Genomic DNA, 21,077 nt, shown 5'->3' with positions numbered 1-21,077 from the left:
GAAAAATGAGTGATTACCTCCAAATACATTTTATTTTCCATGAATACTTGCTTTTGTATTAAAAGAGAAATGGATAATCATTATGATAGCGCCAAATAAGCATTAGAAGACTTGGTCATCATTCTTGGTTCTGCTGCTGTCCAAATTATTACTCCACTCTTGGACTGAGGATCATCTGGGAGTTGCCAGATGAGGTCAGGTATTTGGACTGAGCAAGTCCAAAGCAAACAGAGGAACTAAGAAAAAAAGCAAGAATATTAGCTTTCATACTATGCGGTATAAACTCAAATCTACCCTCCAAGAAAAAAACATAGCCCTATATGTTACTATCTCTTTTAAAAGTTATTTCATGCTTGTTATTCTAACATCTGAGGGCTCTTTCTTTGGATTAATCCCTATGAAATTCAACAGTGGTACAAGGAAAAAGTGACACATTAAGCCATTAACTATATTTAACACTTTGAGAATTCATTTGCTGTATTGCAGAAGGGAAAGCAAGCCCGTGAGGGACTAATGTAATGGAATGTGGTAGAGAAATCTTGAGCAGGGGGCTGGCCAGGAGAATTAAGATCACAGAGGAAAATGGTGCTAAGGTAAAAGTTCTTAAAAAATAATAAACAAGGCTGGGCACGGTGGCTCACGCCTGTAATGCCAGCACTTTAGGAGGCCGAGGCAGGCGGATCATGAGGTCAGGAGATCGAGACCATCTTGGCCAACACGGTGAAACCCCATCTCTACTAAAATTACAAAAATTAGCTGGGCATGGTGGTGCATGCCTGTAATTCCAGCTACTTGGGAGGCTGAGGCAGGAGAATCCTTTGAACCAGGGAGTCAGAGGTTGCAGTGAGCCGAGATCACGCCACTGCACTCCAACCTGGCAACAGAGCGAGACTCCGTCTCAAAAATAAATAAATGAATAATAATAATAATAAACAATTGAAGTATCTAATGCAAACTTTAGAAGAATAACTATAACATAAGGAAAGGAAACTATTAAATATCAATCATTTTAAATCAAATAAAATAGGATAGAATTTTAAAATGCACTTGCTACTTAAAAAACAAAATTATTAAAGCATACAAGCCTTTCACTTCTAGTTATTATTTTTAAAACAAACATGCAAATACACGAAATTGGGAATAAAAAAGCAGTGAAAAGATGTTTTAATTGTGAAAGAATACTTCATGACTATTAAATTGTAATCTTTAAAAAGGGAAAGTTTCAGAAGCAATATAATCATGAAATCTGTTTCAAAAAAATAAATATTTAATTAGGCCAATTCTGAATCAGTTTCAGGGAATAATAAGCCATGTGAAACCCTTTGACTAGGCTCTATTAATTGGTATTCTAAAATTTCTGTCTCATTGAAATTAAATGAGGTCTAGACCTCATGTGAAAAACGTTTCTAATTTTGAAAGACCTGAAATAGTTATTATTATTCCTAGAAATTTGTATTTATTTTATCAGTATCAATTAAAATGATCACTTTAATCATCCATTAAAATGCTCATGTGGTTTTTCTCCTATGACCTTTTGATTTGGTACATTATAATAATATTGTTCCATTCATAGAATTAACCATATCCAATTATTTGTGTTATGCTTTTTGTGTATACAACTGGCTTAGCATTTCTAGTATTTTAGTACGTTTCTTCATCTATATTCACAACTATAGATTTTAGTTTCAATCCTATGCTGACTTTGTTCAATGTTAAATGAATTTGGAGTATGTTCATGTTTTTGTTTAAGTTTAAAATAGTTTTTATATAGATAATGAGAACTACTGTTACTAAACTTCAACGTTAGAAGAATTAAGCTGAATCTGGTATTCTTTCTATGGGAATTATAATTTCTTCTATTGTTACTAATGTAATATTATGATATAGTAAGAAATATATTTTGTCTTCATTCTTGGCTCCTAAAACACCTGTTTTTACTGGGTGGTGGGGGTGAGAAAAGCTCTTTTGTTATTTATAGTAACCCCCTTTCAAACATACCTGAGTCATGCTACTTAAGATATGATAGCCATGGAAGACTTCTCTGGCAAGATGACATTAGAGTAAGACCCACATGAAATGAAGCTGTGAAACCATAGCTCAGGGAAGAGGAAACCAGGTTTAGTATTTGCAACCTGTTCTCAACAAGGAAAACAGCAATTAAAGGGTGATATGTCAGAGAAGTCTCAGACCTCATTTCAGAAATATTCCTAGGCTCCCCCATAATAACAACTCTTGTAGAGTTAAAAATAAAACAATACTTCCTTAACATTGCAAAGACTGTCTATCATAAAATAACAACTGACTTCATCTGTATTAATGCAAAGACTCCCTAGTCCCACCCCTGTACTACTATTAGTTAACTTCTGAAAGTTCTAACCAAAGCACTAATGCGTGAAACAGAAATAAGATATACAGTTATTGGAAGGTATCAACATAAATAACAAATAGAGAGTGGCTCTCTGAAAGAAAGATATTTATTCGGAAAAGAACATTGTAATGGGAATACATATGCCATCGTAAATTATGTGCACATTCAGAGAGATAAAGGAAGACAAAGGATTTTAAGGGGAAAAAAAACAAAGAGGATTACATAATTGTTGTGTTACAAAGATCAGTAGCAAGGATGATGCCAGTCAGAGGTTGGACAGGCAGTTGTTGGGCAGATGTCCTTGTATAAGTACTTTTTGTGTGTGAGGTTGTGATGGCCTTTGTGGAAGGTTGAGGTTTCTGTAGAGTCTTTTCTGATAGTTTTTGTAATGAAGGAAGGATACAAGCATGACAACCCTCTTTTTCATGGCCTTTTCTGGCTGTATGTGTCAGGATTTTTTCAACATTTGTGACTCCATTCTGATTTTGACAACTTTCACAAAAGGAATAGATTTTTTTTTTTTTTTAATTTAAAGATGAGGCTAGGTGCGGTGGCTCATGCCTGTAATCCCATCACTTTGGGAGGCAGAGGCGGGTGGGACACGAGGTCAGGAGTTCGAGACCAGCCTGGCCAACATAGTGAAACCCCGTCTCTAATAAAAATACAAAAAATTAGCCGGGCATGATGGCGGGCACCTGTAATCCCAGCTACTTGGGAGGCTGAGGTGGGAGAATTGCTTGAACCCGGGAGGTGGAGGTTGCAATGAGCTGAGATCCCGCCATTGCACTTCAGCCCGGGCAACAATGCGAGTCTTCATCTCAAAATAAATAAATAAATAAATAAATAAATAAGTAAAAAGATGATATGATTGTTTTCCTAGAAAATGCAAAAGCCTCAAATACTAAAAATTATAAGAAATTTGTATGATGACTAGAAACAAAATAAGTGTATAGAAAATAATTTACATATATAATGTATATATCATATATATTAGCCAAATTGGTCAGAAAATACAACTCAAAAAATCCTCCTTAATATTTTTAACAAAAATATTTATTTGAAAATACTCAACGTGAAATGCAAAGAATCAGTTAAGAACACTGAAAGTTTTCTAAGACATTAAATAAATCTTAACAGAACTTAGTCAAGTTCTTAGATAGGAATCAATGATGTGCTGGAACTGGCTGGTACTAGCTCAGAGCTGATTGTTAAGTTATTCAAGAATTTGCCAGCCAGTCAGTGTTAAACTTTTGGAAGCTGAAATCATTCAGGGTGGAAATATTTCACATCGTACTCAGCAAGCATATTATAAATCAGGGCTGTTGCTAACAGAGAGCCGATTTACCGACACCCTATACCGACAAATTCACATTGAAAATGTATAAATTCTTCTGAAAACCACAAACTTGCAATCAAAGGCAAAGACTTTGCTTAATTAACAGAGATCATCAGGAAAAACATATACATACACACATATATATATGAGCAATAATAACTAAAACAGTTTTGAAAAAGAGAATGAAGAGGCCACTTGTCAGAAAGTTATTATAATCAAGGCGGTGTAGTGACAGCTCATGAACAAGCAGATGATTTATGGAAGAAAAACACATGGGCTAAGAATACCATTAAGTATATGACAAATATGACTAAAGAAGGGTAATTTTAAAAATGGTGCTCAGATAATAGGACCTTTTCATTCTCTCTTCCACAAAAGGTTCTTTTCCCATGCTGTTCCCTCTTCCCAAAACTCTTGCCTCCCTTCATTTGATCTCAGCTCAACAGCCATTTCCTGAAGGAAGCCATCTTTAATCTTCATAACAAACCCCAGATTTTAGGGGTCAAATCCCCAGATTGTAGGCAATTTTTCTTCGTACTTATCACAGTTATAATCTTATGTTTATTTGTCTGATTATTTTATGAGTGTCAGTTTCCTTCACCAGACTGTGCACCCTATAACAGGTCCCTTATAATCCCAGCACTAACACAGTCCCTGCTCTAGAGATAAGACTCAATAATTTTAAAGAATAAATATGCAGGTCACCTATTAAAATTGCTCAGAAAAAAACATATAAATCTGCATATACATTATGATCCCACTTTTATAATATTTATTACATATACTTTCCATATCTACATTAAAGAAGACTAAAAGAAAATACCAGAATGAGAATAAATTAGATGGTGCAATTAGCAATAATTTTATATTCTTCTTTTTTATATTGTGCAATTTTTTCACATTTTTTATAGTAAACTTGTATTCCTTTTATCATCAAAACAGAATAATATGCTTTTTACAATTTGGCAGATGAGAACAGGGTAGGATGGGTGAATGGTGCGCTAAAGGGAGAGAAGGCATAGAAAAGAATTAGTCTGTCTGCCCATAACTCCCCTCTGTCAACTTGGCCTGGTACCCACAGCCCAACCAGCCTTATCTGAAATGATTAAGGACTTTAGACCCCTCCTTGGAAATTCTTAGTACAGTGCCTGAGTTAAAACTAAAAATCAAACTGGGCTTTTTCCTAAAATAAGAAACTATTGTTATCAGTTAGAGTCCTGTTTAGAGTTCTACCGTGAAGAACAGTTATGTATTAGCTTAATTAAAATCCTGCAACTTGGTAGAACCATCATCATATTAAAATAGTGACTTGAAAATTCCAGATATAGGCGGGGCGCGGTGGCTTGTGCCTGTAATCCCAGCACTTTGGGAGGCTGAGGCGGGCAGATTGCTTGAGGCCAGGAGTTCGAGATCAGCCTGGCCAACGTAGCGAAACCCCGTCTCTAGTAAAAATACAAAAGTTAGCTGGGCATAGTGGCATGCGCCTGTAATCCCAGCTACTCAGCAGGCTGAGGCAGGAGAATGGCTGGAACCCCGGAGGCACAGGTTGCAATGAGCTGAGATTGTGCCACTGCATGCCAGCCTGGGCAACAGAGCAAGATTCTGTCTCAAAAACAAAACAAAACAAAAAAAAACAAAGAAAATTCCAGGTCATACAATTCACAAAAAAATCCAAGATCTCTCTTATTGACAGAGGACTTAGTAAACTCAAAAAAAAAAGAGCAATTAAGCTAATTTATATAACTGATTATGTGAGTAAAAACACAAGCCTAATGAAGGAATTTTCTTATAGCAATTGCCTGTTTTAAAACATGGGTCCAATTTAGATGAGACAGAACATGCAGGGCAGTCACTTGTTAAGCAGTCTCCCCGCCTGCTGCTTATTCCTCTACACCTGTCTGATGGAAGAACTGAAATTTGGGATGCTATGGGTACCTCCTGCTCATATCCAGGTGGCAAAAACCACCCAATGCTTCTTATGCAGAAAAGGAAAAAACACAGGTTCATGAAATCCCAGACAATGGAATTCCAATTTGTTCCTGATCCTAAGGTTTCATAATTTGAAGATCATTATTTGTTTCATAATAGTCTCTCCACAATATCCTTTCTTGCAACAACTTTTCTTCTTCTTCTTTTTTCCTATTCAGGAAGTTTTAAATGACACAATTTCCTACCCTGATGGCACATTCATGGATTGGGAGTTTAAGATCTCTGTCTTGTATGACATTGCTAAGGTAAGAGAAACACACACACAGAAAATATGAAAATTAAATATAAGAAAACAGATCTAACAAGTTATTCAACCTTCTGTGCATTGGTTTCTTCATCTGTAAAATGATAATAATAGCTATGTCATAGGGTTGTAGGATTTTAGGTTATGAGGATTTTGTGAAATAATGCACGTGCTTATAACAAGACCAGGTACAAGTACATGTTCAATATATATCTATCAGTTATTATTATTTTATTATATTCTTTGTAGTCTGGGTGTGAGGCATGCAGTTTCACAGATTTTCCAGAAATCAAAATCATATAAAACTACAAGAAAGACAACTGGGCTGGGCGCAGTGGCTCAAGCCTGTAATCCCAGCACTTTCGGAGGCTGAGGCAGGAGAATTGCTTGAACCCACGAGATGGAGGTTGCTGTGAGCCGAGATTGAGCCATTGCACTCCAGCCTGGGTGACAGAGTGAGACTCCATTAAAAAAAAAAAAAAAAAAAAAGACAACTGAATCCTCAACTTTACAAGAGAAAATCTTAAGTACAGGAAACCATCTTGCAGGAATCAATAATAAATGTGGACATGCATATTTTGAGACGTGATAGGAAAACAGAGTGGACACCAGTAACCAGGGCCTCATTCAAGAATGAAGACAAGTTGGTTGTGAGAGGGAGCTGTTTGATACAGTCTTAACTCACCTGAAAGTTATATGGGTTCAGAATCAGTTTGAAAAATGTGTTATGAAAATCGATTTGCCACACACGTCACTCCTGTGATCCAGGCTGAAAATCAGCTTCAGCTGAGACACCCTCTAACCACAAGAGAGAAGCACATCAGCCAAAAACAGGCTTCCTCTTTTTTTATTTTTTTATTTTTTGAGACGGAGTCTCACTGTGTCACCCAGGCTGGAGTACAGTGGCGCGATCTCAGCTCACTGCAACCTCGGCCTTCCAAATTCAAGCGATTATCCTGCCTCAGCTTCCTGAGTAGCTCGGCCTCCCAAAGTGCTGGGATTACAGGCATGAGCCATCACGGGGGCCAGGCTTCCCCTTTTGAAACAGAATGAATGAAACATTGCTTCAAAATAGGATGAAACCACTTCCACTTTAGGAAATAATCTAGCCTGGCACCCTGCCCCTTTGGAAAAGCAAGGCACTATTATTCATATTTTTATTTTAAATTCATGTAAAACAGGACCAGAGACCTACCCAGGGTCACAGACCAAATAAGTGGTAAGCAGAAACACTTAAAAAAAATCAACCCTTTGCCTCATATTATACACAACTACTTAAGCAGATATTTTAGACAATTCCCTTTTACTCTGTCATTTAAACAGACTTTGAAACTAGATATAAAGTGTAGGCAAATATTAGGGCTTCAGTAATATTGTTAAGGTAAAAATAGTGGGACTAAAATTAAAATCTGATGGTGTGACCATCTGCTGAAATGGTTTCCAAATGTCACTTTTTTCTTTAAAATAATCAAGCAGCTGAAGTGTGTCACATTTCTGTTTTTCTATCATCTAAAAAATTACAGGGAATGTCATATCTGCACTCCAGTAAGACAGAAGTCCATGGTCGTCTGAAATCTACCAACTGCGTAGTGGACAGTAGAATGGTGGTGAAGATCACTGATTTTGGCTGCAATTCCATTTTACCTCCAAAAAAGGGTCTGTAATGAATGAAATGTTCACTAGTTTCCTAACTGATTTTTTTTTCAAACCCATGTAGCGTGGTCAGGAAATTGTAATACTGATCAGAAGATAAGCACTTAAAGCCACAAGAGACAACAGCTGGCTCATTCTCCAGAACTTCACACTTGTCAGTCAACGAGTATTTCCTGAGTTAAACAAATGTCCTCTGTGGATTTCCTTCATCCATGCGTCCCTTGCTACACTGAGAAATCATGAATAACTTAATGGCTTGTGGGAGCAGAACTAGCTGAAAAAAATATAGAAGGTTAGAGCAGGAAGAGACCTTAGACATCGTCTAATTTAAGCTTTTTCCTTTATAGAGGACAGCACTGAGACTCAGATTTGTCCAAGAAGGTAGAGTACAAACCAGAAGACCCATTTCCCATTCAAGACATCATTCATTTATGTGTGGTAATAAGAAATGTTAAGGAAAAAACTCTAACCAGTAAAATATATTCTTACCTCTTTCAGGATTGTGGTGAGAGTCAAAAAAGATAACATAAAGAAAACGGATTTGTAAAGTATAAAGGGCTTTTCGTGTTGAACATTTACCCTTTCTTGACTATGACTCACAGTTAAACAGACTCAGATATCTAGAACTCATGTTGCCTTAAAATACTACCTAGATCCAAACACCAAATTATATTTCTAATTCAACTTTGCAATCCTTTCGTTTTTCCTTAATAAAAGGAAAATTGCGATTCTGTCCCTACATCCACAGCCATTTCAAGCATAATATGATATTGAACTCAATCTAATAATTTCTTATTGAAGACCTGTGCCAAGCCTGGTTCATGACATAGTAGTACAAATCGTCATCAGATAACCTAGCATGACACAAATCAGATAAATTACAGGTCAAATCCTATCATCTTAAACAGCACTCGCTTATACCTACCTACCTATGGCATCAGTTACCTAAAATTTTAGCATAAGTAGATTTACTTACCTTTTCTACAACCCCTAACCTTTATGATCAACTATGCATGAATCACAATTCACAAAAATTCACAAGACACAAATTCAAAAAGGTGATGTACATTTGGACAGAGAACCAAATAAGGAAAGTGTGCATCATCATAAACATATTATTGCACCTAACAACATGAAACTATACATGTTTCATTGAAACTGGTGAAGGTAAGTCTTAAAAAGTTTATAAGGAGCTAGGTGATCCTGAAAAACTTACGAAGCATGTTGAAGAAAAATTAATTGCATGCCCGTTATTACTAAATAAGGTGTGTAATAAGGATTCAAAACTCGAGTATCTATAGGAGCTAAATACAGCATTGCACTCATGTGAAGTGAGTGAACTAGATGTAAGCACTAGGGAGTGGCAGGGACAGGAGTAAACTGTGAGTAAATTACATGCGATACTTTTTTAAGAATACTGTGGGAACCAGCAAAAACACCACTGTGGACCCTAGCTGAGTTGCAGGCTGCCAGTATGTTATGCCTTGAAAATATCAGCCATAGTCTCTTTGTCTTAATGTACTGTCTTTATCTTCTTTTGGTAAATTTATATTTAAATATGCATATACACATTAACTAATAAATTATAATAATTTAAATAAAATAAATTTAGTACACATAAAATTTGTATTTTTTTTTTTGAGATGGAGTCTCGCTCTGTCACCCAGGCTGGAGTGCAGTGGTGTGATCTCGTCTCACTGCAACCTCCACCTCCCAGGTTCAAGCAATTCTCCTGCCTCAGCCTCCTGAGAAGCTGGGACTACAGGCACCCACCACCACGCCTGGCTAATTTTTGTATTTTTAGTAGAGACAGGGTTTCACCATATTGGCCAGGCTGGTCTCAATCTCCTGACCTTGTGATCCACCTGCCTTGGCCTCCCAAAGTACTGGGATTACCAGCGTAAGCCACTACGCCTGGCCAAAATTTGTATTTTGAAGGCTTTCATAGGTTCATTCCATATGTCCCATAAACTACTAAATTCCTCAGCCTCTCATATTCTACTGTATTCATTCAACATATATTTACTGAGCATTTACCACAATCAGACCCCATTCCAGGTAAACTTTGAGAGTTTTCAAGACTATGATCCTAGCAGTTTTAAATAACATATTGCCATATGACCTCACCCAAATCCTAACATTTCATAGTTAGTCTAAAAGGTGTGTGTTCTACCTTTGATCACCAGGATTAGCAAAAATTTTTCAAAAATTTGGAATCATATCAATTCAAGGCCACTTATAAGCTATCACCCATATTTAGAGTGGATGGTGTAGGGAATTAGAGAGCAAAAGCAGGTTGGAGGCCTATGAACCACTCACCCCCCTCAACTTTGTAATCTCAATGTCTACATTTACAGACCTGTGGACAGCTCCAGAGCACCTCCGCCAAGCCAACATCTCTCAGAAAGGAGATGTGTACAGCTATGGGATCATCGCACAGGAGATCATCCTGCGGAAAGAAACCTTCTACACTTTGAGCTGTCGGGACCGGAATGGTACATCTAAACCCATTCATGTGTCCCCTCTGGGAGTGAGCCAACCTGCTTTCTAGGCTTACTGAGACCCTAATCTGTCTGTAACCACATCACAATTCCTTCAAATGCAAAATTAATGATTTCCCATCTGCATTATGCATTTTATAAGAATATAAGGAAGATTCAATATTAGGGTGCACTGAAAAGCATAAGACAACATACACTGCCAGGTGTTATTATTGTCAGTATCATTGTTAACAATCTTCGTTTACAATTGTCCTCTTTCCTTTTGATTCCAATAAGAGAATGTACCTGCTTAACATCTAAACTAGATCACTCTAACAGGATGACATACATATTTTAGTTCTTACTAAGGGTAGATGTATAGTTTTTGGCCACACGTCCTCTCAAGGGAAAATGCTTCATTCCATTCATTCAATCCTCACTTACTGAGCATTTATTACGTGCTAACCGTTAACTGTTTGGTGGGGAGTAGGGTGACTAAGGGACGTGGAGAGGGTGGGTCAAAGTATGGACAGAAGAAGCCTACTGAAGGCAGTGGTGCCTGAGCTGAGTTTTACAGCGACAGTAGCATTTTTTCTTTTTTTCTTTTCTTTTCTTTCTTTTTTTTTTTTTTTTTGAGACAGTGTCTTGCTCTGTCACCCCCAGGCTGGAGTAAGTACAGTGGTGTGATCTTGGCTCATTGCAACCTCTGCCTCCCGGGCTGAAGCAATCCTCATGGCTCAGCCTTCCAAGTAGCTGGGACGACAGGTGCACACCACCACACCTGGCTAATTTTTGTACTTTATGTAGAGACGGGGTTTCACCATGTTGCCCAGACTGAGCTCCTGAGCTCGAGTGATCCCCCAACCTCAGCCTCCCGAAGTGCTGGGATTACAGCTTTGAGGCACTGTGCCCCACCTGGTAGCCTATCCTTAAGGTAACCTTCTGGTTATAAGTGGGATGAGACCCTTTCACTGGGTGCCTCATTGAATCAACACCTGTCTACTGAGTGCTGGTCTAGGCTCTGCAGCACTCTCACTGAGCTAAGAGCCATCCAGGGGAGTGAATCAACTGGATTTCTGTTGAAATTCCTTCCATTTCTTCATGCTGTATTCTTCTTTGTAATTTATATTTTTCTCACCCAACCAGAGAAGATTTTCAGAGTGGAAAATTCCAATGGAATGAAACCCTTCCGCCCAGATTTATTCTTGGAAACAGCAGAGGAAAAAGAGCTAGAAGTGAGTATATCTTCCCGTATTCATTTCCTTGGCCTGCTATAAAATTACCATAAATGTAATGGATTAAAACAACAAAAATTTATTCACTTACGGTTCTGGAGACTAGAAGTCTGAAATCAAGTGTTCAGCAAGGCCACACTTCCTCCAGAAGAGCTAAGGGGCTAATCCATTCCTTACTTCTTCCAGAAGCTTCTGATGGCTGTTGACATTTCTTATCTTATGGCCACACAATTCAATCTCTGCCTCTTGATCACAGTTTCTCTTCTGTCTATTCTCCCTCTGTCACCTTTCTATTAGGACATATGTGATTGCATTTGGGTCCACCCAGAAAATACAGAATAATCACCTCATCTCAAGAATTGTAACTTAATTATATCTGCAAAGGCTCTTTTTCCAAATAAGGTAGCATTCATAGGTTCCAGGTATTAGGACGCAGCATGTCTTTGGGAGCCAGCCTCAGCCTACCGCATTCTCCGTGCCTTTCCACCACTCCCCAACTCAGGAATGAGCTGGCTTCTAAAGCACACATCTCATTCTCTATTTTTTTTTTTTTTTTTTTTTTGAGACGGAGTCTTGCTCTGTCACTCTGTCACTAGAGTGCAGTGGCAGGATCTTGGCTCACTGCAACTCCGGCCTCCCGTCTTCAAGCAATTCTCCTGCCTCGGCCTCCTGAGTAGCTGGGACTACAGGCGCCTGCCACCACACCCAGCTAATTTTTGTATTTTTAGTAGAGATGGGGTTTCACCATGTTGGCCAGGCTGGTCTCGATCTCCTGACCTCAAGCGATCCCACCTGCCTTGGCCTCCCAAAGCGCTGGGATTACATAATAGGTGTAAGCCACCGCGCCTGGCCTCATTCTCTATTTTTAAATTGATATTTGTACATATTTGTGGGGTATATGTGATATTTTGTCATATGCGCAGAATGTGTAATGATCAAGTCATGTATTTAGGGGATCCATCACCTTAAGTAGTTATCATTTCTATGTGTTGGGAACATTTCAAGTCCTCTCTTCTAGCTGCTTTGAAATGTACAATACATTGTTGTTAACTGTAGTCACCCTACTCTGCTATCAAACATTATAACTTATTCCTTCTAACTGTATGTTTGTACCCATTAACCTACCTCTCTTCATTCATCCCCTGCCCTACCTACACCCTTCCCAGTCTCTGGCTATCATTATTCTCTCCACCTCCATGAGATCAACTTTTTCAGCCCCTGCATGAGTGAGAACATGTGATATTTGTCTTTCTGTGCCTTTCACTTTACATAGTGACCTCCAGTTCCATATGTGTTGCTGCAAATGACATGATTTCATTATTTTTATGGCTAAATGGTATTCTATTGTGTACACATCCTGCATTTTATTTTTCCATTCATCCACTGATGGACATTTAAGTTGATTCTGTATCTTTGCTATTGTGAATAGTGTTGCAATAAATGTAAGTGTGCAGGCATCCTTTGATACACTGATTTCTCTTCCTTTGGATAAATACTCAGCAGGGGGATTGGTGGATCATATGGTAGTTCTATTTTTAGTGTCTTGAGAAATCTCTATCCTATTTTCCATAGTGGCTATACTAATTTACATTCCCATCAACAGTGTGTAAGGGTTCCCTTTTCTCTGCATCCTTGCCAGCATCTGTTATTATTTGGCTTTTTAGTAATAGCCATTCTAACTGGGGTAAGATGATAGCTCATTGTGGTTTTGACTTGCATTTCCCTGATGATTAGTTATGTTGAGCATTTTTTCATATTCCTGTTAGCCATTTATAAATCTTCTTTTGAGAAATGTTTATTCATGAGTTTTGCCCACTTTTTAATGGAATTTTTTTAATTGCTGAGTTGTTTGAGCTCCTTGTATATTCTGGAATATCATCCTTGTCAGATTAATAGTTTGCAAATACTTTCTCCCATTCAACAGGTTGTCTCTTCACTCTGTTGTTTCCCTTGCTGTGCAGAAGCCTTTTAGTCTAATATAGTCCCATTTGTCTATTTTTGGTTTGGTTGCCTGTGCTTTTGAGGTCTTAGCCATAAAATCTTTGCCTAAACCAATGTCCTAAAGTCTTTTCTCTATGTTTTCTTCTAATAGTTTCATAGTTTCAGGTCCTCTGTTTAAGTCTTAAATCTATCTTGAGTTGATTTTTGTATATGGGAAGAGATGGGGTGTCCTTTCCCCATTGTATGTTCTTGGAGCCGTTGTTGAAAATCAGTTGTCTGTAAGTGTGTGGATTTATTTCTGGGTTCTCTATTCTGTTCCATTTGTTTATGTGTCTGTTCCTGTGCCAGTAACAGGTTGTTTTGGTTACTGCAACTTTATAGAACATTTTGAAATCAGGTAATGTTATGCCTCCAGCTTTGTTCTTTTTGCTTGGGATTGCTTTGGCTATTTGGGCTCTTTTTTGGTTTCGTATGGATTTTAGGATTGTTTTTTCCATTTCTGTGGGAAAATGACAGTGGTATTTTGATAGGATTACATTGAATCTATAGATTGCTTTGGGCAGTATAATCATTTTAGTGATATTAACTCTTCCAATCCATGAGCATGGGATATCATTCCATTTGTTTTTGTCCTCTTCATTTTCATCAGTGTTTGTAGTTTTCCTTATAGAGGTCTTTTACCTTCTTTGTTAAATATATTCCTAGGTGGTTTTTTTTTTTTTTTGGTAGCTATTGTAAATGGGATTGTCTTCTTGATTTCTTTCCTGCTGAGTTTATTATTGGTGGTATATAAAAACACTACCGATTTTTGTATGTTAATTTTTTTTTGAGACAGAGTCTCACTGTGTTGCCCAGGCTGGAGTGCAGTGGAGTGATCTCGGCTCACTGCAACCTCCGCCTCCCAGGTTCAAGCAATTCTCCTGCCTCAGCCTCCCAAGTAGCAGGGATTACAGGCAGCTGCCACCAAGCCCAGCTAATTTTTTTTTTATATTTTAGTAGAGACGGGGTTTCACCATGTTGCCCAGGCTTGTCTCGAACTCCTGAGCTCAGGCAATCCACCGTCCTTGGCCTCCCAAAGTGCTAGGATTACAGGTGTGAGTCACCGCACCCAGCCTGTATGTTAATTTTATATCCTTCAACTGTACTGAATTTATCATATCTAAGAGCTTTTTGGTGAAGCTTTAGGTTTTCTAGACGTAAGATCATATCATCTGCAAAGAGGGACAATTTGACTCCCTGTTTTCCAATTTGGATGCCTTTTATTTTTCTTGCCTAATTGCTCTGGCTAGTACTTTCAGTACTATGTTGAATAGGAGAGGTGAAATTGGGCATCCTTGTCTAGTTCCAGTTCTTAGAGGGAAAGCTTTCAGCTTTTCCTCATTCTGTGTGATATTGGCAGGTTTGTAGTATATGGCTTTTATTATTTTGTGGGTGTGTGATATATGGCTGGCCTTTATTATGTTGAGATATATTCCTTCTATGGCTAGTTTTTTGAGAGTTTTTATCAAGAAGAGATGTTGAATATTATCAAATGCTTTTTCTGCATCGATTGAGATGATCATATGGCTTTTGTTCTTCATTCTGTTGACGTAATGTATCATGTTTATTGATTTGCATATGTTAAATCATCCTTGCTTCCTGGGGATAAATCCCACTTGATCATGGCGTATTATCTTTTTGATGTACTGTTAGATTCAGTTTGCTAGTATTTTTTTTCTTGGAGGATTTTTGCATCTATGTTCCTCAGGGATATTGACCCATAGTTTTCCTTTTTTGTTGTATCCTTGTCTGGTTTTGGTATGAGGGTACTGCTGGCCTTGTAGAATGAAGGAGAATTCCCTATTCAATTTTTTTGAATAGTTTGAAGAGAATTAGTGTTAGTTCTTCTTTGGAAGTTTGGCATAATTCAGCAGTAAAGTCATCCAGTTCTGGACTTTTCTTTGTTGGGAGACTAGTGATTCAGTCTCATTACTCATTGTTGGTCTGTTCATGTATTCTATGGTATTCTATTTTTTTCTGATTCAATCTATGTAGATTGCATTTATCCAGGAATTTCTCCACTTCCTCTATATTTTTCAGTTTGCTGGTATATAGTTGTTCATAATAGTCTCTGATAATCTTTCACATTTTTGTGCAATTGGTTTTTATGTCTTTTTCTAATTTCTGATTTTGTTTATTTGGATCTTCTCTCATTTTTTTCTTGGTTAGTCTAGCTAATGGTTTATTGACTTTGTTTACCTTTTCATAAAAACAACTTTTTATTTCAATGATCCTTTGTATTATTTTTTCAACCTCTATTTTGTCTAGTTCTACTCTGACCTTTATTATTTCTTTCCCTCTACGAACTTTGGGTTTGGTTTATTCTTGCTTTTCTAATTCCTTGAGGTGCCTTGTTAGATTTGAATTTTTTCTGATTTTTTGATGCAGGCATTTATTCCTATAAACTACTCTCTTAGCAGTACTTTCGCTGTATCCCATAAGTTGTGGTATGCTGTGTTTAAATTTTCATTTGTTTTAATTTTTTATAATTTCTCCTAATTTCTTTATCGACTCAATGGTTATTCAGAAGCATGTTGTTTAGTTTTTATGTATTTGTGTAGTTTCCAAAGTTCCTCCTGGTATTGAGTTCTACTTTTATTCCATTGTGGCCTGAGAAGATATTTGATATAATTCTGGTTCTTTATAAATATGTTGAGACTGGTTTTGTGTCGTAACATATGGTCTATCCTGGAGAATGTTCCATGTGCTGATCACAGGAATGTTTATTCTTTAGCTATTGAATGAAATGTTCTGTAAATGTTAGGTTCACTTGTTCTAACGTGCAGTTTAAATCCAATGTTTCTTGGTTAATTTTCTGTCTTTATGATCTGTTTAATGCTGAGAGTGGAGTGTTGAAGTCCCCAACTATTATTAGATTGGAATCTACTTCTTCCTTTAGATCTAATAGTATTTGCTTTAAATGTCTGTATGCTTCAATGTTGGGTGTGTATATGTTTAGAATTGTTATATCCTCTTGCTGAATTGAGTCCTTTATCATTATATAATGACCTATGACCTTTGTCTCTTTTTACAGTTTTTTACTTAAAGTCTGTTTTACCTAATATAAGTATAGCTACTCTTGCTTGCTTTTGGTTTTCATTTGCATGGAATATCTTTCCATCCCTTTACTTTCAGTCTACATATTTCTTTACAGATAAGATGAGTTTCTTGTAGGCAGCCTACAGTTGGGTCATTTTTAAAAATCCATTGAACCAGTCTATATCTTTTAAGTGAAAAATTTTGATCCATTTACATTCAAAGTTATTATTATGTAAGGGCTTATTCCTTTCATTTGATTAATTGATTTCTGGTTGTTTATACATCCTTTGTTCCTTTCTTTCCCTTGTTTTTCATTATGGTTTGTGGTTTTCTGCAGTGGTAACCTTTGAGACCCTTCTCTTCCCTCTTTGTGTGATTGCTTTACTAGTGGGTTTCATACTTTCATGTGTTTTCATGGTGGTAGATGACATCCTTTCACTTCCAGGCGTAGGACGCCCTGAAGCATTTCTTGTAGGGGAGGTCTAGGGGTGATGAATTTCCCTAGCATTCACTTGCCTGGGACAGCCTTTATTTCTTCTTCATTTATGAAAGATAAGTTTGCTGGATATAGTATCCTTAACTGGAATTTGGTTTTTCTTTCAGCACTTTGACTACCTCATCCCTTTTCTCCTGGCCTGTAATGTTTCTGCTGAGAAATTCACTGTTAATCTGATGGGGGTTTCCTTATAAGTAACCAGATGCTTTTTTCTTGCTATTTTTAGAATTTTCTCTTTAACTTTTGACAATTTGACTATAATGTGCCACGGAGAAGATCTTTTTTAATTATATGTATTTGGGGATCTCTGAGTTTCCTGTATCTGAATGTCTAAATCTCTTGCTATTATTTTGTTAAATGGGTTTTGTATTCCTTTTGTTTTCTCTTCGCCTTTTGGGACACCAAAAATTTTAAGTATTTAGCCACTTTATGGTGTCTATATCATGTAGGCTTTGCTCATTCATTTTTGTTCTTTTTTCTTTATTTTTGTCTTATTGGATTATTTCAAAAGACCTGTCTTCAAGTTCTGAAATTCTTCTGCTTGATCTAGCATATTGTTGAAGCTTTCCAATATATCTTGTGTTTTATTGAATGACTTCTTCAGTTCCAGAGTTTGTTTTATTCTTTTTTATGGTATCTATTTCTTTGGTAAATTTCTCATTCATATCCTGAATTTTTTTTATTTCTTTGTATTATTTTTCTGTATTCTCCCATATCTCACTGAGCTCCTTTAATATTATTTTTAATTATTTTTCCAGAATTTTATTAATTTCCTTTTCATTGGAAATTGTTGCTGCAGAACTACTGTGTTTCTTTGGAGGTATCATATTTCCTTGCTTTTTCATGCTTCTTGTGTCTTTATGTTGATATCTGTGCATCTGGTGTAACAATTACTTCTTCCAAATTTTAACATTTGCTTTCATAGGGGAGGACTTTTTTCCTGAAGATGTATCTATAGTATTGGTTGGGTGAGGCACTTTGGCTTTGATTCTGGGTGCATGCAGTAGTGTAGTCTCTACATAATTTACTCATCTGTGAGTGGGTCTGTTATTTCCCTAATGGGTTAGGATGTCATTGTTAGTGGAGGCAGTAGTGACGTTTTGTTGAAGACTGGAATGCCAGGTGGGCTGGTCCTCAGGGCCCCTTGGAGGCACTGGTGCCAGCATAAGCTGTCCTTGGGCCCCAGGACAGCTTATCTGGTACCAGCGTTAGTGGGTCTAGGCAGATCAATTCTTTGGCCTCCAAGTAACTTCCTCAGGTGCCAGCAGTAGCAGCAGTGGCCTAGGCTGGTGGGTGGATTCCCGGGTTCCTGGGCAGCAGGCATGGCATGAGTAGTGGAAGTAGCCATGATAGGACAAGCTTCTGGTTCCCAAGCAGTCTGCACTGGTGTTGGTAGTGGCTGTGACAGGCTGGGCAGGCCAGTCTGCAGGTCCACAAGTGGTATATGCTGGTGGGTACCAGCTGTGGTGGTAGCAGCAGGTTATGTGGCCCCCAGAAGATGTACTCAGGTGCCAACAGTGGTGGACTGGGCTAGGAGATCTCTAGGGCCCCTACACGGTAGGCTGAAGCACTGGGAGGGTGCAAGTGAGCCAGGTGGACCTGTCCTGAGACCTGTCTTCAGTCCCCACCCTGTGGTGTGTACAGGCACTGGCTTCAGTAGGCAGGGGTCATTCTCAATTTTTATAAGCTCAATGAACAAGGTGTCCATGCGGTATACTTACTAGACTTATAAATACCATCTAATGATTTAAAAGGAAATATGCCAACATCTAAAAAGAATAGAGAAATGTACTTCCACTCATTTTATCCTTCCTCTGAAGGAAATGGAGCAAAAGCTCTTTACATTTGCTTTTGTAATTGTCCCTCAAAAAGGCCTTGAAGCCCTGTGAAAAATTTCTAATTATTTTTCCTTTTAGCATTTTACCTGAGCCTTAATAATCCAAGAAGATAGTGAGTAAAGTATTTTAAGATATTTATGATCTTTACCTAAAACCATAAAAACCCTAGAAGAAAACCTAGGCATTACCATTCAGGACATAGGCATGGGCAAGGACTTCATGTCTAAAACACCAAAAGCAACGGCAACAAAAGCCAAAATTGACAAATGGGATCTAATTAAACTAAAGAGCTTCTGCACAGCAAAAGAAACTACCATCAGAGTGAACAGGCAACCTACAAAATGGGAGAAAATTTTCGCAACCTACTCATCTGAGAAAGGGCTAATATCCAGAATCTACAATGACCTCAAACAAATTTACAAGAAAAAAACAACCCTGTCAAAAAGTGGGTGAAGGACATAAACAGACACTTCTCAAAAGAAGACATTTATGCAGCCAAAAAACACATGAAAAAATGCTCACCATCACTGGCCATCAGAGAAATGCAAATCAAAACCACAATGAGATACCATCTCACACCAGTTAGAATGGCAATCATTAAAAAGTCAGGAAACAACAGGTGCTGGAGAGGATGTGAAGAAATAGGAACACTTTTACACTGTTGGTGGGACTGTAAACTAGTTCAACCATTGTGGAAGTCAGTGTGGCAATTCCTCAGGGATCTAGAACTAGAAATACCATTTGACCCAGCCATCCCATTACTGGGTATATACCCAAAGGACTATAAATCATGCTGCTATAAAGACACATGCACACGTATGTTTATTGCGGCACTATTCACAATAGCAAAGACTTGGAACCAACCCAAATGTCCAACAATGATAGACTGGATTAAGAAAATGTGGCACATATACACCATGGAATACTATGCAGCCATAAAAAATGATGAGCTCGTGTCCTTTGTAGGGACATGGATGAAATTGGAAATCATCATTCTCAGTAAACTATTGCAAGGACAAAAAACCAAACACCGCATGTTCTCATTCATAGGTGGAATTGAACAATGAGAACACATGGACACAGGAAGGGGAACATCACACTCTGGGGACTGTTATGGGGTAGGGGGAGGGGGGAGGGATAGCATTAGGAGATATACCTAATGCTAAATGACGAGTTAATTGGTGCAGCACACCAGCATGGCACATGTATACATATGTAACTAACCTGCACATTGTGCACATGTACCCTAAAACTTAAAGTATAATAAAAATAAAAAAAATTTTAAAAAAGACATTTATAATCTTTAAACAAAAACATCTTTTGTTCCTTGTGGGATAAAAATAGAAACATTTTCCTTCCATTTACAAAGACACTGCCAGATGAGTTTTATGGCCAGACTCTGCAGGGCATGAGTGGGTCATTTTTACCTCTCCCCTTCCCTTTCTTTTTCAATAGTAATAGTATGTTGAAATACAGCTTTCCGAAGTACAGCTGCTCCTAGCCCTGCCTTCTCCTCATTCCTTTCTTTCGTCCTGCTTTTCCGAATTCCAGGATTCCTCCACACAATCAGCATATCCTTTCTCAAGCCCTTTTTTTCTAATCTGAGTATATCCAAATATTAAAACCTTATTCACTAAAACAGCATCATCTTTAATTCATTTGTGTAGTTGGACAGTTCTGGAATTAGAAATGAGGAATAAAATTTCATGTCAAGTAACTGATTCCAACAGAATACAGAGTCGAAACTAGATCACTCAGCAATGCCCCAGAAACACCCAGTAGAGTCGTCTCTCCATCCATAGGGAATTGGTCCCAGGAACCCCTGTGGATACCAAAATCCACAGCGGCTCAAGGATCTGATATAAAATGGCATATCATGTGCATATAACCTGCATACATTATCCTATGTACTTTAAATTATCTCTAGATTGCTTATAATCCCTAACATGATGTAAATACTATGTAAATATTTGTGGTACTGTATTGTTTAGGGAATAATGACAAGAAAAAAAAGGTCGGTACATGTTCAACACAGACAAAACCATCCTGTTTTTTCCAAACATTTTCCATTCCCATTTGGTTGAATCCACGAATGCAGAACCCATGGAGACAGAGGGCTGACAGTATTTCACTCTGTGGCACAGGATCGGCCCAGTTTGCTGTTTCTGCCTATTCTGCTCTAAGGTAGTCAGCAGATGACTTACCAAGGCAGGAGCATCATCTAGTGGTGAATATTGGCACCACAGGCTATACCGCGGCTCTAGTTCCTTCCCAGGGAATTGTTCAGACAAAGTACAGGGACAGGGATTGCATCTAGTATCACTTATGATCTTGTTTTTAGCCGGAGTGAAAAACAAAGTTTATTTAAAACAAATGGTTTTCACCACACATTTTGATTTAAAAAAAAAAAAGCTGCAAA

The 21,077-nt window shown here is 37.8% G+C and overlaps 1 protein-coding gene across 2 annotated transcripts in view, besides 1 other annotated feature; it reads left to right on the top strand.

The window, feature by feature from the left end:
* GUCY2C (guanylate cyclase 2C) overlaps positions 1–21,077 on the top strand; it is an 83,968-nt gene that overhangs the window by 45,433 nt on the left and 17,458 nt on the right. For both annotated transcript variants that reach the window (XM_011520631.3, NM_004963.4), the window contains exons 16-19: positions 5,852–5,938; positions 7,461–7,593; positions 9,948–10,085; positions 11,217–11,305. In XM_011520631.3, coding sequence (XP_011518933.1) covers positions 5,852–5,938; positions 7,461–7,593; positions 9,948–10,085; positions 11,217–11,305 — 447 coding nt within the window. The remainder of the gene's footprint in view (positions 1–5,851; positions 5,939–7,460; positions 7,594–9,947; positions 10,086–11,216; positions 11,306–21,077) is intronic.
* Positions 6,768–6,847: an enhancer, noted in NCBI's record as "active region_6050". NCBI's record gives its function as "activates an Ori minimal core promoter by ATAC-STARR-seq in GM12878 lymphoblastoid cells {active_cell/tissue: GM12878}" and the evidence as "EXISTENCE:reporter gene assay evidence [ECO:0000049][PMID:35858748]".

This window comes from Homo sapiens, chromosome 12 (genome assembly GCF_000001405.40).
Source record: "Homo sapiens chromosome 12, GRCh38.p14 Primary Assembly".
Classification (NCBI taxonomy): Eukaryota; Metazoa; Chordata; class Mammalia; order Primates; family Hominidae; genus Homo; species Homo sapiens.
This window is presented reverse-complemented; position numbering and strand designations above follow the sequence as displayed.